Source organism: Homo sapiens, chromosome 4, assembly GCF_000001405.40.
Source record: "Homo sapiens chromosome 4, GRCh38.p14 Primary Assembly".
Classification (NCBI taxonomy): Eukaryota; Metazoa; Chordata; class Mammalia; order Primates; family Hominidae; genus Homo; species Homo sapiens.
Window position 1 is genome coordinate 133,269,409 of NC_000004.12, and position 24,102 is coordinate 133,293,510.

Consider the following 24,102-nt stretch of genomic DNA (forward strand, 5'->3'; position numbering starts at 1 on the left):
AATAAGAACTTACTGGGTTTGCTATAATGATTATTATTGACTAAATCAGAAAAATCATGGATAAGCCAAAAAAAATATGATGTGTCAGATTTTACACACCTTTATAAAAATGGCAATAGAACAGGGAGAAATCAAGCCCATCATTCTTTGTGTGTCTCTTCATTGCTCTACTTTGATTTGCTCAGTATTCGGTGACCAATGCTCTTGGGCACCTCTGAGAGACAAGTTGCAGCTAATTTCTAATTTTTGTTTGTTTATAATTCATACTTTTATATAGACCTTCAAAGTATTTCTATAGATTCTCACTCTACACTCTTATAAATATTTGTATTAATTCATGTTGTCAACATAAAGGAAGAAGCTGAGCCAGAATTAATATAAATAGAGAGTATTTGGTCCAAGTTTAAGGACTGCAACACTAGAGCATAGATCAGGGTGGCCTGAATATATATGTTGATTAACAACAATTACAAGTGGGTTTGTAAAAGAAAAAAGAAGAGGCAGTTTCTAAATTGTATACCAAAATTTCATGTTAAAATAACAAGCTATTCACTGGCTATACATTCTTGTGTATTACAAATTCCAGGAACATGAAGATAATGAATGAGGCAGCTAGTCAAGAAACTGCTGGGGAAGAAAAAAAAAGGAAAAAAAATGCTTTTAAACAATGCCATTGGGCATAGTTGTGAGTAGAGGGTAGACAACTGAAGTCAGGTACTCATGTCTTTCTCGGCCTGATAAATTTTACATACCAAACATAGCTCACACTGCTCTGATCTATTTTCTTTTCTCAATGTTTTTCTACTCTTTTCATGGTAGATGATTAATTAAGTTTGCCCTAAAGCTGCCTTTGTACATATTTTAAGTTTGGCCTAAAGGTTTCTTGCTACATAGTGACCTGTAGCCTAACTGGATGTGTAAACAGACTGTAGCCTACTCTTGTAAGAAATAGCTGAATCTCAATCACTGTGGCTGAGTGTTAGCCAATCACAGCCAGCGGACTGCTCAAACTGTATTCAGATAAGGCAAATGCTGAGCTGTAACCAATTTTCCTGTTTTCTGTACCTCAGTTTCACTTTCTGTGTATCACTTTTCTTTTTCTGTCTTAAATTTTACCTGACCATGTGGCAGCCCTGATGTTACTCTGAACCTATTTTGATTCTGTAGCCCTGCAAATTGTTCTTTGCTCAATTAAACTCTGTAAAATGTATTTTTTCTAAACTTTACCTTTTATCATAGGAAAAGCCAGTTGCTGGTCTTTACCATTAGTTAAGAAGATTTTACCTTTTGTTTTATGCATCTAAGCAGTCTGTTCTATCTAATTTGTGTTCTTTCTCTATCTAGTTGGGATGGTAAGAGTATGTAGAATGTTCTGGCTTTTTACAACAAACAAGATGTTTACAATTTGAGTACTATCTGAAAAAGTTTCTACTGCATTTTAACTTATAGCAATATGGAATAATTCATCTGAGATTTTACTGTTTAAAAGATTTCCTATCCACCTGTGGAAGCTACAAGCAATTTGTATTATAGCACACATAAAATAAGGCTTACTAAAATTGAAGTTTCCTATTTTCTTTAATGATGCAATGTCTTGTAAATTTTTATAGCTTTTGTTTAAACATTGTAGAACTGAAAATGCTACAATGAAAATGTTTTTAAATAATTTGTCACTTAAGATGTTTTAAATGTTCTGTACAGTTTTCACTATTAAACTCAATAACTTTTTGTTTAATAAAATGTGTATATAAATGATACTAAAATTGCTAAGATACTTAATATATACACATTACCTTAACATATTTCTTTGTTTGAGATTGCCAAATTGATATTATACAAAACTACATAAAATTTCGAATTCATCAGATGTTAAATTCATTACCTTTTTAAAATTCCTCTTATACTCATGGAAATTTATTCTAAATCACTTCTTCAGATCAAACACATTCCCTGAGACATAGACAAGAAAAAGATTAAGCAAGTTAAAAAAAAATTCTAATTAGTGTTTTTTCACCTTCGTCATCAAACATGAGTAGAGAAGTGATCAAAATCTTTTAATGGTCAGAAGTGGGCAAGTTTTGGGGCGTTATCTTTCATCTAAAATAACTTTTTTCTGCATTATTTCTGAAGGTCAGTTTGTTAGCCTAGTTTGAAAAAGGTTCAAAAAATCTAGATTAAAAAGGAAACTATAGAATGATGTTTTAAAAACCTTACTTCATGCATACATTTTTCATTACTTGAACTATGTGAATAAAACTTCAAAAGTGGGAGAATTTAATTCTATACTATTTCTAAAAAGAAATAATCTGAACTTAATTGCAAAATTAACCATCATTAGTACAATTACTTAGTTATTAATATTTTGTCTTGTATGTTAACATGTTTTTGATTTTTTGAAGCAGAATAATCTGATTTATAACTTCAAATGGCAAAATAGGTCTCTTGAAACATAAACTTAAATTAACCTGTAAACTTTAAATTAAATCTGAAAAAATTTAAATAAAAATAAAGAAAATTAAAAGCAAATTCAAACATAGGAATTTTTGAAAGACATAGATGATTTTCTATCAAGGCATTTTCCATGCTATTAATTGCTAACATTCATTGATTACTTACTAAAATCTAGACATTTTCTGTTATATAAATTTATTCATATATTATCACATTATTACTATTTTTTATAAGTGAGCAATTTCAGGCAAAGTGTGATTCTGGGACTGATTCAAGATATCTAGCATAGCCAATATTTAAACACGCTGTTGGTGCTGGTGTACAAACTTTCAATCACTACATTATGAGGTGGCTACCTCATAATAAACTTGATTGTTAAGAAAAGAGAAACACTGTATAGGCCACAAGTTGTGAATTGATTCATAAAATGTTCTGTACTTACAATTTTTGAGTGGTCAAACAAGCCTATTTCATTGGAGTGAAAACTTTGAACAAGTACTAGAAACCATTATTCTTGCATTAATATTTTTAAATTATATATTTCTTTAGAGAATTTCTAAATTTTCAAGTAAAATAATAAAATGGCCAGAAATAATACAACTAAATTAAATGCACCATCTAACAAGCAATTACATCTCAATATCAGAATCACTTTTGAAGGTGAAATAACCACTATGCTACTGCCCAAGAAGTCAGAAAGAACAAAAACCCAAAACAAAAAAGACTTCTGTTTTAAGAAATTTGCAATCTAATTGAGATGAAAAAATAAACACCTGGGAATATAAAAAATATTATTAGTAGCTGACAACCTGGATTTAAAAGTTACTATTTCTTCATTCTTAGAATTTAAATCTGGGATTTTCCTAATCCTAACCCTTCTTAACCCTGATTGCATTTTGAAATGCTAACAATTGTCTTAAATACCCATATGTCTTTCTACTACTACGATATACTGATTCATATTTTTGGTATCTATTTGTGTATTTCAGATACCAAAAATACTGTACATCTGATGCAGTATTTTTGGTATCTGAAATACACAAATAAATTTGTGTGTTTATTTGTGTATTTGTGTATTTCAAAAATTCCTTCAGAGTTGGAAAACTTTATTTTAGGAATTCCTATTTTGGATATGTGTTCTCCATGTTGCTTCTTTGTAAAGTATTTTTTTTTTCACTCATTATTGAATAATTTAGTTGGCCATAAAATTCTTGATGGGCATCTATTTTCTTCTAATTCTTTGAAAATATTTAACTTCACTATGGCTTCCGTCTGCTATTTCCATTCTTTTGTAGGATAGCCACCTTATCTCTCCACAATTGTTCTTATTTTTAAAAACTTTAAATTGAAATATATTAAATATACAAAAACATACACATACTACAATTTACAACTATGAATCTCCACAAATGAAACTGAAGTAATGGTAGGGGCCAAGGGAAAACTTCCCCATTACATTCTGAAAGTTTGCTGAAAGTCAGCCAACAAAAGGCAGATTAACAGGAGAAAAGGCAAACAAATTTATTTGGTCATAGTTTTACATGACACGGGAGCCTTCAGAATGAAGACCCAAAGATATACGGGAAACTGTCCATTTTTGGCTTAGGGTTGACAAAGTATGGATAGCTGTGTAGAAATAATATTGGACCCAAATGGTATGATTGAATGCTAGAAGACTGAATGGAGAAACTCAGCAAAGGTTTATGTTGTCTGTTTAGATTCTTCTTTGCCTCTCTGTGCAGCATTCCTTCCTTCTTGGTATGGGGCAGGGCCCTCTGTGGAATGAGAGTCTTATGACCTACAATCAAACAAGATAGGTCAGATAATTTCTTTATGGCCAGCTTTTACGCAGAAAGGTGGGGGGTAAGTTACACTATAATTTTTAAGTTTTATGACTGGCTTTGGGGAAAAGGGATTCTAGCTTTTTTTAATTTTTAATTTTTATTTTAAGTTCTGAGGTACATGTGCAGGATGTGCAGGTCTGTTCCATAGGCAAATGTGTGTCATGGTGGTTTGCTGCACCTATCAATCCATCACCTAGGTATTAAGCCCAGCATGCATAGCTATTTTTCCTAATGCACTCCCTCTCCCCACCCCACCCACAAAGGCCCCTGTGTGTGTTGTACCCTTCCCTGTGTCCATGTGTTCTCATTGTTCAGCCCCCACTTGTAGTGAGAACATGTGGTGGTTGGTTTTCTGTTCCTGTGTTAGTTTGCTGAGGATAATGGCTTCCAGCTCCACTCTGTCCTCCAAAGGGTATGATCTCCTTCCTTTTAATGGCTACATAGTATCCCATGGTATATATGTACCACATTTTCATTCTACTTTCTATAAGTGCCTTGGGGGAAGTGGGATGATAGTTTCTGTGGCTAGCCTCAGGGGACAATAAGGGGCCAGAGACAGGAGGGCAAGTGAAGGTCAGAGATAAACTTTTGCTTCTGAGGTGAATTTTGTGGCTTTCATTTTGAAGTATCATTTCTGAGCCACAAAATAATCAACCCCCATCCACAAAGAAACAGGGCATTACCAACACTCTCAGCCTCAGAACCTCTGCTCTTGGACTCCTTTAGCATTATTAACCCCTTTCCTTTAAAAGGTACGTAGAACTCAGTCTTGTAATAAAGTTATATTACTTTTTGCCTGCTTTTCGATTTGCAGGCACATCGTATACTATACGTTTTACACTATATGTCCTCTTTCGTGTTTGTCTTCTTTTGCTAAACATTGTGTTTGTAATATTTATGCCCATCTATTTGTGCTGGTTTGTTCATTCTCACTACTATATAGTATTACACTGACTATATTAAAGTATATTTATCCATTTTGCTTTTGATGACATTTAGGTTCACAATAACAGTTATGAATATTCTAGCACATGTTTTATTTTTGTTTGGTTAATGCGTGTACATAATTTTATTGCTATTATGGCTAAAAGTTGAATTCACTGGGTTACAATTTAGGCATATTCCACATTAGTAAGCACTTCAAAAACATTTCCTGAAAGAGTTGTACAAATTTATACTTTAACCAACAGTGTGGGTTCCAGTTACTTTATATATCACTAACACTTGGTGTTTTTCACTTTACCCTTTGTGATATGGTGAGTTGTATTACATACAGTTTTCATTTACATTCCCCAATGACTAATGTAATTGAGTATTTAATACTTATTGGCCATATGGATTTTAAGTTTCTTTTCAATACTTTTGCCAGTTTTGTACATTTTTTTCTATGAGGTTTGTGCTTTTTTGTTGTTTTCTGCATATTCTTGATATAGTTTTTAAAATAAGTATTTGAATAGCAAATTATCAGATAGATTTTTAAGATCATCCAATTTCCTTTGTTATTCTTCAATGAAATTGCCACGTGTTTAGGTAAGGGTAAATACTCCAGTTAGTGTCCTATATATAGTGACATAAAACAACCATTTCATTATGTTTTCAGGAAATAGATAGGTCGTGAAATCAGAAAGGGCACAGCAGGGATAGCTTGTTTCTGCTCAGAAATGTCTAGCACCTCAGCAGGGAAGACTTGAACTTGGAGGACTTCAGGGAGCCTGTTCACATATTTGTCTGGCACATTGGCTGCGATGAATGTAAGGGTGAGCTCAGCTTCATCAGCTAAGCAGAGCACCTACCTATGGCTTCTCCATGTGGCTTAGGGTAGGCGTCTCAGCATGTGTCTGAGTTCCAAGAGGGAAATTTCTGAGGGGGAACTTCCAGGAGCAAGCATTTAAAGAGAGGAAGAAGCAATGGCCTTTTCTGACAAAGCTGCAGAAGTCAAGTAGCATCATCTCCTCTACATCCTGTTGGTTACAAACAAATGTTAAGGCGTCCCCAGATTCAAGGAGAAGAGAATTCGATTTCCTTTCTTAGTGGAAGAGTGGTATGGTCACATTATAGCAAAGAATTTGAATGCATATTGTTTCAGTCATCTGTACAAAATACAATCTTCAGTAAAAAAAAAAAATATGTTTTGTTTGGGATGTGCCTTGTTTTTATCAGTTCTGGGGTAATTCTCAGTTATTATATTTTTAAATATAGCCTATTCATTTTCCCTTTTTCTTCTTTTGAAGTCTAATAAGGGAAATTTGGGACCCTTTCAATTTATCATCCACTGTTGTTTTTTCACTTCTTATTTCTGCTTTTTGTAAAAAGAATGCTGCAAACTTGAGTTATTTCTTCATCTGCATCCAGTATCATTAATTCTCTCATTATCCATATTTACTTGACTGTTTAACTTCACACTGGATTCTTATCATTAATGATTATGTTTGTAAAGTCTAGAAATTGCACTTAATTCTGTATCAAATATACTTAAACTTGTTTGATAATATCTTGTTCTTAAATGATGGAGATAAATTAACCTTTAATTTCATTTAGACATTCATGTATGCTTATTTGTATTCTATATGTGAATAGTAAAAGCCCAAATTATTTGAGCAGATTAATTCCGCTGTGAATTGTTTCTACTGATTCTCACTCATGGTTGCTTCCCTGTGTGTTTGATAATTTAGGATTATGAGCCTTGTTGGCAAGATGTTATCTGTAGAAATCCTGTGAAGCCTGCTCTTCAGACAAAAGCTGCATTTTCGGATGAATTGAGATGCCAATATGTTACTGAAATTTAAAGTAATTGCTTAGTTTGGGCCTTCCCATAATATATTCTTACTTTAAACTCAAATTCTAAAGCTGCATAAAGTTAGGGCAAAGTTTTCAAGTTTTCATGACGGATATTTTTCCCACCCAGAAGAGTTCTAGCAATACCCCTTGGACATATTTTTCCTGGTACCCTTGTGGCTAACATCTTTGTTTTGTGTAGGTCTCAGTTTTAACCTCACATTTTTGTAGACTCAAGGTATTGTCTCCAGTTCTTGGAAAAGTAGTTAAACTGCAAGACTTTTGGTTCCGAGATCAGAAAATACTCCCAAGACATCTGTAGTTCAGTTGCACTTTATCACTCTGTCTTCCAGTATCCTCTCCATTTTGGGGCTCAGAGGATTTTTTTTTTTTTTTAACCAACTTATGAGTACAGCTGTGCTTTTTAAAAAAAGCTTTGTTATTTTCAATCCAGGGTTTTTGGCATTTTGAATCAGAACAATTTTCATGGTGTCAAATTTGCTTAATATCAGAAGTGGAAATTCTTCTGAGACATGTTTTTCCCGATGCTTTTAAAATATACACTTTATTTACTTTATGTATATGGGATCAAGGCTGCATGATTTTACAAAAACTATTCAAGCAACAGTATAAAAATATTTTCTTTGAAAATTGATTATATGATCTTTAATCATTAATTTAGGCATTTTTTGATAAAAATATTAAAAAATCAGGTTTTTAATTTCTCTGAGGACTATTTGAATATACTCCAATGAGTCATTATGCAGTTAGTTATAGGGTATTTATTTATTTATTTATTTGTTAGATGGAGTCTTGCTCTGTCGCCCAGGCTAGAGTGCAGTGGCACAATCTCGGCTCACTGCAAGCTCTGCCTCCTGGGTTCACACTATTCTCCTGCCTCAGCCTCCCAAGTAGCTGGGAGTACAGGTGCCCGCCACCACACCTGGCTAATTTTTTGTATTTTTAGTAGAGATGGGGTTTCACCGTATTATCCAGGATGGTCTTGATTTCCTGATCTTGCGATCTGCCCGCCTCAGCCTCCCAAAGTGCTGGGATTACAGGCGTGAGCCACTGCGCTTGGCCAGGGTATTTATTAAGAAAAGTGGAATTCGATTATAATAATCCTCAAGGCTCTTATGTAGCTGTTTGAAAATACTAGTGGAGGTGATACTGCTTTGTTACAATGTATTGGGGGAACCCGCCCCCAATATTTCAACAGTAGGTTCTTTTTATTTTCCCTAAGTGTGGGCCTGTCTGAGAAATAAAGAGAAAGAGTACAAAGAGAGGAATTTTGCAGCTGGGCTGCCGGAGGTGACATCACATATTAGTGGGTCCGTGATACCCACCTGAGCTGCAAAACCAGCAAGTTTTTATTAAGGATTTTGAAAGGGGAGGGGATGTACGAACAGGGAGTAGGTCACAAAGATCACGTGCTTCTGAGGCCAATAAAGATCACAAGGCAAAGGGCAAAATTAGAATTACCCATGAGGGTGTATGTTCAGCTGTGTACGTATTGTCTTCATAAATATCTTAAACAACAGAAAACAGGATTAGAGAGCAGAGAACTGGTCTGACCTCAAATTCACCAGGGTGGGGTTTTTCCCCACCCTAGTGAGCCTGAGGGTACTGCAGGAGACCAGGGCGTATTTCAGTCCTTATCTCAGCCACGTAAGACAGACACTCCCAGAGAGGCTGTTTATAGACCTCCCCACAGGAATGCAATTCTTCTCCCAGAATATTAATTATCAATATTCCTTGCTAGGAAAAGAATTTAGTGATATCTCTCCTACTTGCATGTCTGTTTGTAGGATCTCTGCAGAAGAAAAATGTGGTTCTTTTTGCCCGACCCCACAGGAAGTCAGACCTTATGGTTGTCTTCCCTTGTTCCCTAAAGTCGCTGTTATTCTGTTCGTTTTCAAGATGCACTGATTTCATATTGTTCAAACACACGTTTTACAATCAGTTTGTACAATAGTGGTCCTGAGGTGATGTACATTCTCAGCTTACTAAGATAACAGGATTAAGAGATTAAGGTAAAGACAGGCATAAGAAATTTTATAAGAGTATTACTTGTAAACTGATAAATGTCCATGAAATCTTCACAATTTATGTTCAGAGATTGCAGTAAAGACAGGCATAAGAAATTATAAAAGTATTAATTTTGGGAACTGATATGTGTCCATATTAAAATGAAATCTTCACAATTTATGTTCCTCTGCCACAGCTCCAGACAGTCCCTGCATTTGGGGTCCCTGACTTCCTGTAACAACAATGTATGCTGGGCTAACCACGATAGCTTTCAGCAAGGCTTATATGTTATTTCCAGTGATGATAGCTTGTATTGCAATACCCTAGCCTTGACCTTGTCATAAAAGATTTATAAATATTGCCTTGTGAGCAGTCTGAAGATTTGGGTTTCTGAGAACCAGATAGGGCATTTTTGATGGTGAAGACTGCTTCAGGAAATAATTCTCCCTCCCTCTTTAACAAACCCACTGACCTTTCAAACCTAGGTCAGTACTAATCCTTTTGGTCTGACATTTCTTAGCAGGGATTCACTAAAATTTCTTCTTTCTGGAAAATTTTAGCTGATGAAATTAGCAGAAATGCTAAACTTGAATTTTGTATGTGAATGCAGAAGCCATAGAGATATAAATACTTAAAATAAATTTAACATTTTGTTTCTCACATACGTGGGAATGTCCTATTAGGACAAACCTGTCTTTTCACATGTGCTGCTGGAATGCAGAATTAGGAAAAATAAGTAAAACTTATGGAGTCTACTTTTCAACAGAAGGATAATATTTGCATTAATTAAGACTGTTTGGGCCAGGTGTGGTGGCTCACATCTGTAATCCCAGCACTTTGGGAGGCTGAGGCGGGTGGATTGCCTGAGGTCAGGAGTTCCACACCAGCCTGGCTAACATGGTGAAACCCCGTCTCTACTAAAAATATGAAAATTAGCCAGGCCTTGTGGCAGGCACCTGTAATCCCAGCTATTCAGGAGATGAGGCAGGAGAATCACTTGAACCTGGGAGGTGGAGGTTGCAGTGAGCCAAGATCGTGCCACTGCACTCCCGCCCGGGCGACAGAGCAAGACTCTGTCTCAAAAAAAAAAAAAAAGACTGCTCAAGTACGAAGTGAACATTCATGTTAAGAAAATAAAATCCCTGGCATTCCATATTCTGAACACATTTTATAATGGCGGTTCTTTCAGACTTGCAGATGGGATCTTTGCATTTAGCCAGGGATAGACTTAAAAGACAGTTCCATTCTAAGAGTCAGGGCATAACATAATATGTGGTGAATCAGTTCTATTTTGTTGTGTAACAAACACCATAATACTTACTAACTTATAACAATACTCATCTATTATTTCACACAGAAGCCCCTGATTTGCCCTCCCCATCAATCACTCCCATACTTAAGAAAGGTTAACACTGTCCTGACTTTTAAGTTTAGCATATTTCTGAACATTATTTAAGTGGAATCATATAGTATGTACTATTGTGTGTCTCTAACTATCTAAATTTGTTTTGCCCATATTTTTCCATGTTTTACATGAAACTAGTTCATTCATTTTAATTCTTCATAGTAATTACGGTGGGAATATACTGCAATTTATCAATCCTAGTGCAGATGGATATTTGGGTTATTTCTCATTTTGCATGATTGGCATTGTTCTGCCTCGAACATTCTTAGACACATATATGTATGGTTTTTAAGTGTGTTCTGCCTCAGTAGGTACTATCCATTTTCCAAAATGCTTAGGCCCAGTCACACTCTTACCAGCAATATATGAGTTCCCTTTGCCCCACATCTTCCACAGGATTTGCAGGCTTTTGTTTTTGTGGTGTTGTTTTCATTTGTTTTTTCTATTCGTGTGTGTGTGTGTTTATATGTAAACATGTGTGGTTTTAAGTTGCATTGTTCTCATGTACACTGAACACTTTTCTAATATTTATTGGTTATTTAGGTATTATGTTTTGTGAAATACTTGTTTAAATCTTTTGTCCATTATCTTATTTGATTGTGTATTTTATTTTTGATTTATGGGATTTTGATAAATATATTGTGATACAATTTTTAAAAATGTTATTTCAAATACCTTCTTCTATTATATAATTTACCTTTTTGTTATCTGAATGGTTTTTTTTTTTTTTTTTTTGAGATGGAGTCTTGCTCTGTCACCAGACTGGAGTGCAGTGGCACGATCTCAGCTCACTGCAACCTCTACCTCCCTGATTGAAGCGATTCTCCTGCCTCAGCCTCCTGAGTAGCTGGGACTACAGGCACGTGCCACCACATCTGGCTAATTTTTTTGTATTTTCAGTAGAGATGGGGTGTTACCATATTGGCCAGGATGGTCTGCATCTCTTGACCTTGTGATCTTCCCACCTCGGCCTCCCAAAAAGCTGGGATTACAGGCGTGAGCCACCACACCCAGCCATGAATGGTGCCTTTTTTGTACAGGAATTTTTAGTAGTTCAATTTTTATGTATTTTATCTTATGGTTAGTTCTTTATGTATCAGGATTAAGGAGCATTTTTAAAATTCAGGTAATAAATATATTCTCCTATGTTTTTTCTTCAAAGCTTTCTTTTTTTCACTTTAAATTTTAGGTCTATAATCTACCTGTATAGATTTCATTGTATGCTTTCCTTCAGAGATGAAAACTAATTTTTTTCCATAGTGATACTGGCCAATTTTTAAAAAGACTATTCTTTTTCTACTTCTCAATAATGCTAGTTTTCTCATAAAATCAAGTTTCCATATTCATCTGTTCTTGAACACTGTTTTCAGTTATATTGGTCTACATAGCTTTATATATAATAATTATTAATTGTTTTAATTAATATATTTTATAATAAAGTGATAGTCAATAGTTTAAAATCTCAATTTTAATTCTGATTTCTAAAATTATTTTGGCCAACATTGAGCAAAATGTGTATGTACTTCCACATTAATTATAACATGATCTGGTTGATCTCTATAATAAAACCTACTAATAACTTGATTGGAAGCTCATTAAATCTACAAATAACTGGGAAGACTAATGTCCTAACAGTATGAGTTATTCAATTCATGAACATGGAATATACCTTGTTTATTAAGATTGATTTAAATTTCTTTCAATATTTTATGTGTTACACATTGTGTTTGCATAGAGTTCATTCTTGTTTCATTTATTACAGAGTATTTAATTTTTTTGATGCTATTGTAAATGGTAGAATTTTTACACTTAATTTTTACTTATAACAAAACATAGTGATAAAATTCAGATTTTTTTTGTATCAAGTGAATGAGCTATACACACCACATTATTGTAATAGTCTATTTTAGAATTGTTTAGAGTTTCTATGTACATAAAATTGTCTTATATAAATCATGGATATTTTATTTCATCCCTTCTAATTCTTGCTTATTTTATTTTTTGTTCTTATCTTACTTCATTAGTTGGTATTTTCAGTAAAATGCTGGATAGAATGGTTGCTTGTTTCATCTTGAAAGGAAAAAATATTTCTGTTTTCATCATGGATTATAATGTGATTATGATTGTCTATTTTTCATTATATTTTGATCAGTTTTTATAAATATAGTTTGAAGCTATGTTGTTGTGTTCTATGCGGGGAGAGTATCCAAAGACATCACAATCAATCTCTTCCTTCCCTCTACACATCAGATTTTTCTCATATCAAGAGGAGGACTCTAGTCCATCTCTCCTTTACTCTGATCTTGGTTTAGTGACTTGCTTGACTAGTAGAATGCCATGGAAGTGATGCTCTGGGATTTCCAAGACTAATCTTAAGAAGCTTTTCAGCATGTACCTCAAAATCATGGAACATTCACCCAGCCACTATCCTGTAAGAAGACCAAGACCTTAGTAAGGCCATATGCAAATCCTCCAGTGTACAAACTTAACTACACTTCAAGGAAGTAGGCAGAATAATTGCCAGTCTTGCAAATAAGCCACTTGGGACATTCAGTTCCGTTGAGCTTTCAGATGTCTTCATCACTAGCTGCCATCTGATTGCAGATCATATATAGGAGACCCTAAGTGCAAACTAGCTGAGCTCAGTCAACCTTCAGAATCATGAAAAATAATAAATAATAATAATAATAATAATTATTATTATTATTATTTTGAGACAGAATCTCGCTCTGTCGCCCAGGCTGGAGTGCAGTGGCGTGATCTCGGCTCACTGCAAGATCTGCCTCCCGGGTTCACGCCATTCTCCTGCCTCAGCCTCCCAAGTAGCTGGGACTACAGGTGCCCGCCACCACGCCTGGCTAATTTTTTGTATTTTTAGTAGACACGCGGTTCCACCGTGTTAGCCAGGATGGTCTCGATCTCCTGACCTTGTGATTCACCTGCCTTGGCCTACCAAAGTGCTGGGATTACAGGCATGAGCCACCGTGTCCGGCCAATACATTATTATTTAAAGCCACTAACTGTTGAGGTGGTTTTGTTACATGGGAAAGAATAACAATGAAGTGACTGCTTACTTATTTGGAATTTTTTATGTCTTCATGGTAGAGTGACATTTCTATGATTATTAAATGAACCTTATTGTAACTAATAATTTTGCTATGCAATAATATTTTATACGAATATAATATATAATAACATATTATAATATATACTTAATATATACTAGTAAATATGCACCAAGATGTTTTAGTTTGTTTGGTTAGGGTTGAAATAATATATATTTTTGAAAATTTTACTTTCAAATATTTTTTGCATATATTTAGTTATGTCTGCTACATGTATATAGTTGGATTATATTATTTTATCCAGTCTGCCACACTTTATCATTTAAATATTCTATTTACATTGTTTTCATTAAATTTAATTATTGATATATATGTGTGTGTGTGTGTGCGTGTATGTATTTAAATGCACTATATTCTTGTTTTTCTATTTTTCTTCTATTTCATATAAATTTTTCTCTATTACTTTTTTTGGATTAATCCAGTATTTTTTTATTAACTTATTTTTCTTCTCAGAAGCTCATTATTATGCATTACTTCACTATTTTCCAGGGGGATAATCTGTAATTTTTAAAACATGCATCTTCTTAAAATTTAATATATATACTAAAAGATCCTTTGTTTGTCTGAAAATCTATTTATTTTGCTTTTTTGTGTCTTTAATAATTTATTTCTTAAAATATAAGCCAACACAAATTTGACAAGACATTACAATTATTTTAAACTCACTTTTCATTGTTTCTATAACTCTTTGTGCATTGGATTTATTCTCAGTAAACTGGAGAAAAAGAAAATTAACATTTATTGAGTTCTTATTCCGTGCCAATCATGATGCTAAAAACCTTTGTTTACAATTTTATATATTCTTCCCAAATACACTAGAAAGTAGCCATCATTTAGGGCCATTATATTTACAAATAAATTGGATTTCTCAAATATTAAATTTCTAAAAGATTAAAATATCCAGAAAATTTGGATTCCAAAAGTGCAGAAGCATTTTGCTGAACCATGAATTTTTTAAATGTGTCTCTGAAGCGAAGCATGATGAACCCAAAGCTCTTATTTTAGTTTACTTTGTTTCCATAGGTCCCTTCAGCATTAATACAGCAAGAAAATATCTGATGTTTTCAATTGCTGTGGTTCCTTAATATAAGATTACCATGGAATTATAAAGAATGTTTGCTAATAAAAATTCTATCACACATTTGACAAATGATATGAATGCTATGACCCAAAGAATGGGAAAAATTTTTGAAGCATCTTCTGAAGTTATTTGCCACTTTCTTTTGCTTTTTTTTTTTTTAACCTTTTATTTTAGGTTCAGGGGTATATGTGCAGGTTTGCTATATAGTTAAATTGTGTGTTATGGGGGTTTGGTATACAGATTATTTTGTCACCCAGGAAATAAGCATAGTACCAAATAGGTAGTTTTTTGATCCTCTCCCTCCTCCTACCTTCTACCCTCAACGCTGGTCCTGGTGACTTTTGTTGCCTTCTTTGTTTCTATGTATACTCAATGTTTAGCTCTCACTTATGAATGAGAACATGCAGTATTTGGTTTTCTGTTCTTGTATTAGTTCTCTTAGGATTATGGTCTCCAGCTCCATGCATGTTGTTGCAAATGATATGCTCTCATTCTTGTTATGACTGCATAGCATTCCATGGTATAAATGTACTGTATTTTCTTTATCCAGTCTACTGTTGATGGGCATTTAGGTTAATTTCATGAATTTGCTGTTGTGAATAGTGTTGTGATGAACATATGTGTGTATGTGTCTTTATGGTAAGATAATTTATATTCCTTTGGGTATATAGCTAATAATGGTATTGCTGGTTGTAATGATAATTCTGATTTAAGTTCTTTGAGAAATCACCACACTGCTTTCCAAGATGGCTGAACTAATTTACCTCCCCACGAGCAGTGTATAAGCATTCCCTTTTCTCTGCAACCTCGCCAGCATATGCTGTTTTTTGACTTTTGAATAATAATCATCCTGACTGGTGTGAGACGATATCTCATTAGGGTATTGATTTGCATTTCTCTAGTTATTAGTGACATTGAGCATTTTTTTTTCATATGCTTGTTGGCCACATATATGTCTTCTTTTGAAAAGTGTGTCTTCATGTCCTTTGCTCATTTTTTAGCGAGGTTGTTTGTTCTTGCTGTTTGTTTCAGTTCTTTATAGAGTTGCATATTAGACCTTTGTCAAATGTATAGTTTGCAAATATTTTCTCCCATTCTGTAGGTTGTCCATGTACTCTGTTGATAGTTTATCTTGCTGTGCAGAAACGCTTTAGTGTAACAAGGTCCCATTTGCCAATTTTTGTTTTTGTTGCAATTGCTTTTGGTGTCTTCATCATGAAATTTTGCCAGGGCCTATGTCCAGAATGGTATTTCCTAGGTACGCTTCCATAGTTTCTATAATTTTAGGTCTTACATTTTAGTCTTTAATCCATTTTGAGCTCATTTTTGTATATGGTATAAAGAAGGGATTTAGCTTCAATCTTCTGTATATGGCTATCCAGCTATCCCAGCACCATTCATGAATAGGGGAGTCCTTTCTCTATTGATATTTTTTGTTGACTTTGTCAAAGATCGTATGGTTCTATGCACTTCCACATAGAAGTGGAATCTAATTAGCAGAATTTTTATAATACTATTTTATAAATAGTATTTTTATAATACTATTTATAAAACAGTATTATTGAAATTTATATGAATACATTTATGTAAATATAAATGTAACTATAACTTTATAGAAATATAACTATGTGGGACTATAACTCTAAAGAATTATCACAACTTTACTTCAATAATTCAAAGAACATAAATTCTCCAGAAATTAAATAGAAACTTTGAAAGAATCTTTCAGGTTTTTTATTTGTGACCAAATTGAAGCACCCCTATAATCTAATGTATTGCTTTCTAATTGCCAGTCTAATACTTGCTTTAAGAAGACATGGTTGTGAATCTCTTTTGGAGGTACAATAAAACATGTTACAAGGGAAAGAAAATCTAGTACAAACCCCAAATTATATTTGGCACACACCACAGCCAAATCCACAAATAGAGCTTTTTGGAAGATCAAAGGTAACAATTGGTGTATATTTTATTTCCTGGGTCATATACAAAGATTTTGCAGTTAATTTGAGGTTGTGTATACTGATTTCAAAAGGGGAGAATCAGAGCTTAGTTATTTTCTTTTTCAGAGTTTGGCTTTCTTATGTATTGTTTCATAGGGGAGGGGGAATCTCTTTTTTAAATGATGTTATAATTTATGCTCATTTCCACTGTAGACTTAAAAATAATATTTTTCGTGACTAAGGTCAGACAAACTGAGCTCTGTGATTTATTTTAGTATAATAGTTTATCTGGTGAATATTCTAATGTTTTTAAAGGGTAATTTACCTGTCAATCCAGTACCACGCTGGCATACAAATTAGTGCCTATAAAGAAAATATTGAAGTGTAGGAACAGCAGGAGAATTGAAGAAAAGTAGGCAGTTTCCAGAAATGGTACCAATGCATTTTCTCATTAAGTGGAAACATTTATTCAGTCAAAAGATGCTATTACACATAAATATTCCTGTGTTCTTAAAATATTTAATAAAATATTTATAGCCCATGGATGTTGATTTAAAATATATGATACACACTGATACCCGGGTGATTAAATTTAAAACAATAATCTTTTATTTCACAAGCCTAACAGAATTTTACAACTCTTAATAATTTATCTGCCCTGTTAATTTGGCCGAGTTATTCGCTCCAAAATATAAGCACCAATGTAGTTGTATCCATTCAATACTTTATTTTTTTCAGATCTTTAACAAAGTGCTACTCTTTCATACACTGATACTCTAAGTCAATCCCAACTTTATTGTGAAACCAGGTAAGTATTGCTCAGCTTTCCCAAAGGTAGGAAATCAGGTTAATTAGAAGACAATCAGGTTCAGGTTCTGTCTAGTAATGAAAAGTACTGTGTTTTCATTCAAAAATAATTATGCATAACTTTAAAAACATCTGGTCAAGTTTAAGTAAGATTAGATTAACCGAAGGAAATATTTTAATTTGAGTAAGTTTGCTTATTTTTCTTCCTATTGTCAAGAATTCAAATACAGCAATAATATTTTAAATTCAAAGAAAGACATTTGTAGGAAGGAAGAATTAATTCATGATGTTTAATGCCATCAACAGATGGTGGAGGTCTTAGCTATACATATCACACATACTAAGTAATTAAAAAGTAAATAAAAGACTAACATCTAAATTTCAAACAGCAAAAATATCAAAGCAGTGTCTATTTTTATCTAGCCAGACCATATTGCACTTATGGTATATACAATTATTCCTTTGTATTTTAATATACAGTACTAATCATTGAAGATAACTCTTCTTCACGGTATAGTCAGCATAAACTTTCCCAGTAGCTGTCATTTGACATGTTAGTTTGGGCAACTCCATCTGTGTTTTCATAGGTAAGCACATAAAGAACGCATTACAACCTAATGCCTCTAAAGGGGCCTCCTTTCCCCTGTTGTGTAGTCACTAGCAGTTTGGAAGGTCCAGCAGACGCTCATCCTGTGTGCCTACTAAGCATTTGAGGAATTTACTTGCAGTTGAAACAATTATACAGTACCATGGAGGGATGTGACAGTAGAGATAATCAGTCCCTTAAGGCTATAATGCATGGTTACAAGTCAGGGTGCCAGACAAGAACACTAGGGCTAACACACAGGGCATCTGCCATTGCAAACACATAAAAGGATGTAGAAATGTATCAACATGATCTAGTAAATGGACGGAACAGCTGTTTCATTAAGTTTAAAACTAATTGCTTTAGCCCTTGTCACACTAATGGCAATACTGTTCCTGTTACTGCTGATTCAGAAACAATGCTGCTCTGTCCATTGTGGCAGTATTCAATCTAAAATGAAACACTATCAGTATGCTTTTATAAGATGGGTATGCGAAGTGTAGCCAGTTAGAAAACACATGGGACTCTTTCCCTCCATTTTACAACATAGTTGAAGCACTAATAAGCTTGAAAGTCAATGAAATACGTGCAACATATATGAGTCAAGAAGGTAGCAAATACTTCAAAGGAAATGACGCTCAACATACAGCATTCTTTTAGAAAAATATGACTTTTTAATTTTTTGTTTGCTAAGGGGTACAGCTTTCTGTCTATGGTTCATTTTATTCACTCATAACAGGCAATTAACAAATGTATTGACTTAGGAAACTAGTAAATAAATTTCTGATTTAATAACAGTTAACTTTCTATCAAAATGATTTTAATTCTTCCACATTTTCATTCATTTACTTATTAATTGAATCGAGCATGTATACATTCAACATACACTTATTATGTATTACCTGCTAGGCAATATGTTAACAACTATGTTACAGCTACCATTGTTTCTGTCCTCATAGGGTTTTGTAAATAATTGAAAACTATTGTTAAGTACTTTTCGCAAAACATGTGTCAGAGACTGAAGCAAAGATTTCTTTTGCAGGTGTGTATAGATATACAGAAAACCATTTTTTTTTTTGCTATGAAAATAAGAGTTAATAAACCATTGGCTACCAGAAGTATTTAACACAAAAGATGAATTTTTGTCTATTGATGCTGCCAGGAATACTGCCACCTGAGATGGGAATTGGGTGGGAAGATAACATTTAAGATAGGATCATCAAATTCCTCCCTTACCCATTCCCATGGAGATAGTTTTATAAATTTATTCAGGGAGGTATAGTTGAATTCATATTATTGGTATACTTTTCACATTAATAACATTTTGAGAGTTGACACTAGTATGTAATAATCATTTCTGTAATTTTAAGTTTCCTAAGTTCTAAATAATTGATTCACATAAGGGCTTTTGAACATATTCTCCTCTATACGTTAAATATTATGTGCTTTTTAAATTGATGTTGGATAACTAATTTTTAAAAAATTAAGTTATATAGAAGGAAATACAACTCTTCTCTTCATAGAAGTCACTACCCATCCTATATCTTATCAAAGATATTTTTACTATATTTTCATAATAAAACAGGCAATAACTTTTATAGAAAGCTAATAAAATGATCAAAAAACTATAATATGTTAAATTGAAAATGCCATGGTTCTGTAATAGAAGGGATATCAATATCCATATACATGTATTATATATTGTTTATATCTACTGCATATTCAATAGTCATAAGATGATATTTTCTAAAATAAGACTTTTAAAAATTATATATTTATTCTGACTGAATAAGGCATGATTAGGAATAGTAGTATATGTCTTTCATTGTCTGTGACTTGGTTACAGTATAATTAGAGGATTTTTGGCAGAGATTTATTTCATAAAACATTGTTTTTAATCATTAATTTAAAAATATTTTTTGAGTATATTTGTTGTGAAATGTGTAGTACTAAATACCTTGAGGACAGTATGAAAGGGGTTTAATCAGAGGAAATCATAATTTTAATGTAATGAAGAGAAAAGATAAAAGTGATAAGTTTTTGTCTTATCAAATTCTAGCTATCAAATTGTCATCTCAGTTCTCTTGATTTTAAGTCTTAAAACGAGATTTAGTTTTGAAGGATTCTCAATTAGCAATAATTATTTAGAAAGAAGATTTCAATACCATGCTTCTCAAATTAAGAGTGTGAGAATTTTATACAATTTAATGGCCAAAAAGTTCTATCTTGATAAACTGACTCATGATAGCTTATCTCTCTGAGACTTCTCCCTTGCACCTCAAGCATATGGAAATCCTGGTCCCAAATTCCAACGAATAATAACTTGTACTTGTCCACCATTCAACACAGTTGAGAAGAGTTTATCTTAAAACTATGCTAGTTCTGGCCCACCCTTTCTGAGACTGGGAAAGAAATGTTATGAACACTGGATCTGCATTATCATCTCCAGTTTGTCTCTTCTAAGTCCTTGGTTCCAGTGCCTGAAACTTCTCACTTAGGCAATTACGTCTGCTTGTCCTTTGGTTATTTCACTCATAATTAGTTAATATAATTTGTTAATGAGACATGAATGGGTTTTATTTTTGTCCAAACCTTTGTCCAACTTCTGTATATTGCTTATTTTCAGGTGGGTCTTGCTTGCTTTAAGAGTGCATTGTGGTGGATAAATTCTGGTAACAGCTTATAAAACTGCATGAAAGGTTTAGATAATGCATTACTAGAGTTCAAAAGAGGGAGAATTTCCTTCTAGCTGATAGCTTCATGGAGGAGTTGAAATTTGGGTTGCACCCTGAGATAGGGATTGAATCTGTGTAATTGGAGCTCTGTTTCTCCTTGTATATAGATAATATGTGTGTATACATATGTCTCACATATATATAGTGACATGTCTCATTATATATTATGTATTATATATACATACTTACATGTTATGTATACACAAATATGTATACATTGATAAAATATCATCTTATGACTATTGAATATGCAATAGATATAAGCATGTATACATTTTTATAAATATGTATATACATATTATATAACATATATACATTATGTACATATAATGTAGAAACATAACCCCAATTATATCCAATTATCTCCAATTCTCTCTCCATATGTGTGTATGTGTGTGTGTGTATATATATGTGTATATATATATGTGTATATATATGTGTGTATATATATGTGTGTATATATATATATAGAGAGAGAGTAGACATATATCTCTATATGTATCACATCTCAAGTCACACAAGATTGAATAGTGTTTTAAATGGTAGCGCTGTGGAGCAGTGATGAAAATGTTCATGATAATAAATGGATACAAATTACTTAGGTTTGCTCCACACACTTGAACATATACATGGAGCATCAAGTTTTATTTTCCAAGCAACAAATGAGTAGATATTCATCAGTCTTATATGCGGGAAATATGCTTCTTTTGAGGCTCCTTTTCCCCTGTTTGCCCAAACCCACTGGGCTCAAGTATACGAAGCAGTGAAAGCTAATCCACTCACTTGGTCTTAAAATTCATTATACACAAGGTTTATTTGGAATTCTTGTTAAAAATTCCCTGGATGTTCCCCCAGAAATCTGGTTCAAGTGGCAATTCTGATACAGATGGTTCATAGGTCAACACTCCTGCATATGCTGGACTCTTTGGTCTCTTATCATCTGTGTTGAAGCTCAGGCACACTACCCACAAAGAGTTTTTCACCCTGCATTAATACCTTTTCCTTTCCAAATTCAGGCATGGCCATTGCAGGGTGTGAAGGCTTTCTCCGAGTGGAAAGCATTCTTAACATACCTACATGCTCATCATACATTTTCAGTATGGCCGCAACTATTCCTCAAAGCATCACATTGCTGGGGTGTAAGGGGCATCCAACTCACACCCTTTTTATAGAATTGGGCCCTGAGATACCTCTCTGAGCTGCTGCTGCCTGACATCTAGAAACTTCTCACCTCATGGTGAATCACTTTTAGGGGGAAATTTCTCACGAATGTTGTTTGTTCGCCATCTTACCCAGTGACCTACTCTGTATTTTAAAGTAGTGAAAAGGAATTGGGCAAATAACTGAAAAGAACAATTAAATATTGATACTACTGTGAACACCCTTAACCACAAACATAAGTGGGCCTTACAACCTTACTTCAGGACAATTTGTGTTTACTGTGCTGTATTAGCCTAATTAACATGATCATTCAAGTGATTATAGGACCAAGAAGATCAGCTCTTGATTTTTTTTGCAACTGGTACCACATATTATTTGTGAGTGTGTGTCTGTGGGTAAATATTAGTGATTATTTTCTCATTAGACTTGTTTTATTCAAGAAAGAAGCCAACAATAGTACATAAATAAATAAGGGACCCATGTTACCTTATTCTCATCACAACATTTATTTTTCACAGACAGAATTTTGTGATAAGTATTTGTGATGATTTGGGGAAACTATAAGCATTGAAATATAATTCCTAGACTTAAGTTTTTATTATGTTTCTGATTATTAGTGGCCTTTTTATAGCTAGGAATTATGATAGAACAGGGAGATAGAGCCTGGTCCTACCAATTCTTGACAGCATATATCAAGAGAAAGCTGGGATCCATATGGGAGAACAGATGATTTTCTTAAAACCGCCATGTAGAGCTGCGCCCGAAAATAAATTTTATATTACGTAGGTGTAGTTTTACAACCATAATGCTTAGCTCATGAGGAATAAAAAGAAAACAGTTTATTCTGGAAATAATGTGGCTACTGTATTGTAGTTTAGCTTTGTAGCATGTAGTTTAGATAAAAATTTTTATGTGAAATTTCCAAAATATTTTGGGAGTATTGTAGTCCTCAATGGAAAATTTAGGAGGTTATGAAGATGATTTTATATAAATTTGTGGTTCACTTTTGGTGAACCATATCAATATGGTTCCTTATATCACTTGTTTTTTAGTAAGTCAATGAGGGACTGTTTCTAGAAAAGCTTTTAAGGTAACTTAATGACAGTTTCATGATTTTCAATGAATAAAACACCAAGTTTGGCTTTCACATGGTACATATAATGTGTTCATTTGTGAGTATATCCCATGGCTATCTTTGACTGAAAGGTAAGTTATTTAAGAGTTCAGAGCTGCCTTCCAAGAAAAAGACCATCTAAAGCCCTAGTGCATTGCTTCTATTTTCTAAAGCAAACACTTTTATTAATGTGTAAAACAGTTTCTTAGGATTTATATAAAACTTATTAAAAATATATGGCTTTGGAGCAGTGAATCAGAGTCTTCTCTTTTGTCCTTGAAGAGTTTTTCCACCTTAATATAGTAGTTGTGATCTTAAAAAAATGTGGTTAAAAAAAGTCTTTTTCTCACTGCAAGTCATATGTTTCATTATTTCAACTTTTCATGCCTTTATCACTTTGTCGAATTGAAATCTTTGTGGACCATGAGATTTTTCACATTTCTGAAGAATTATTATGACTCAAAAAAAAAAAAAAGCAAGAGAAATTCAAATCTCAAAACTTATTTTGGAAGTTTACAAAATGAAAAAGTGAATAAATTTTAAGGAGCAAATGTTTTCATTTTTCTTGAAAGTTAAATACTAAACCAAATAACTTTTATGAAATATTTTACCATTTTCATTTATTATAAACATACTTTTAAATAATTCATTTCCAGATGGGGAAAACACATTGTCATAAATATTACTTATTCAAAATAAAATAATTGCTAAGAAAAATATTTGCATGAGTCTATTATATGATCCAGTAGCCACAGAACTCTGAAGTACTTCTGAGAGATACGTCAACATGGGATAGGGTTGCTAATAGAGTTTATTCAGTTTCTCACTGAAATATGTAGAATAAAAATTAATAAAAATATAATCTTGTAATTTATAACAAGGAAACTAATAATAAATCTGTTTCTAACATAGGAGGGGAATGGCCATATAATACAAAGCCTATTGTGCTACAGTGAGAACATTGTTTAGTGGTTTAGGCTTATCATGCTGTGTTTGAAACAGAACAAAACCTTCTAACCTTAGGAAAATTGAAAGATTCTTAGAAACTTA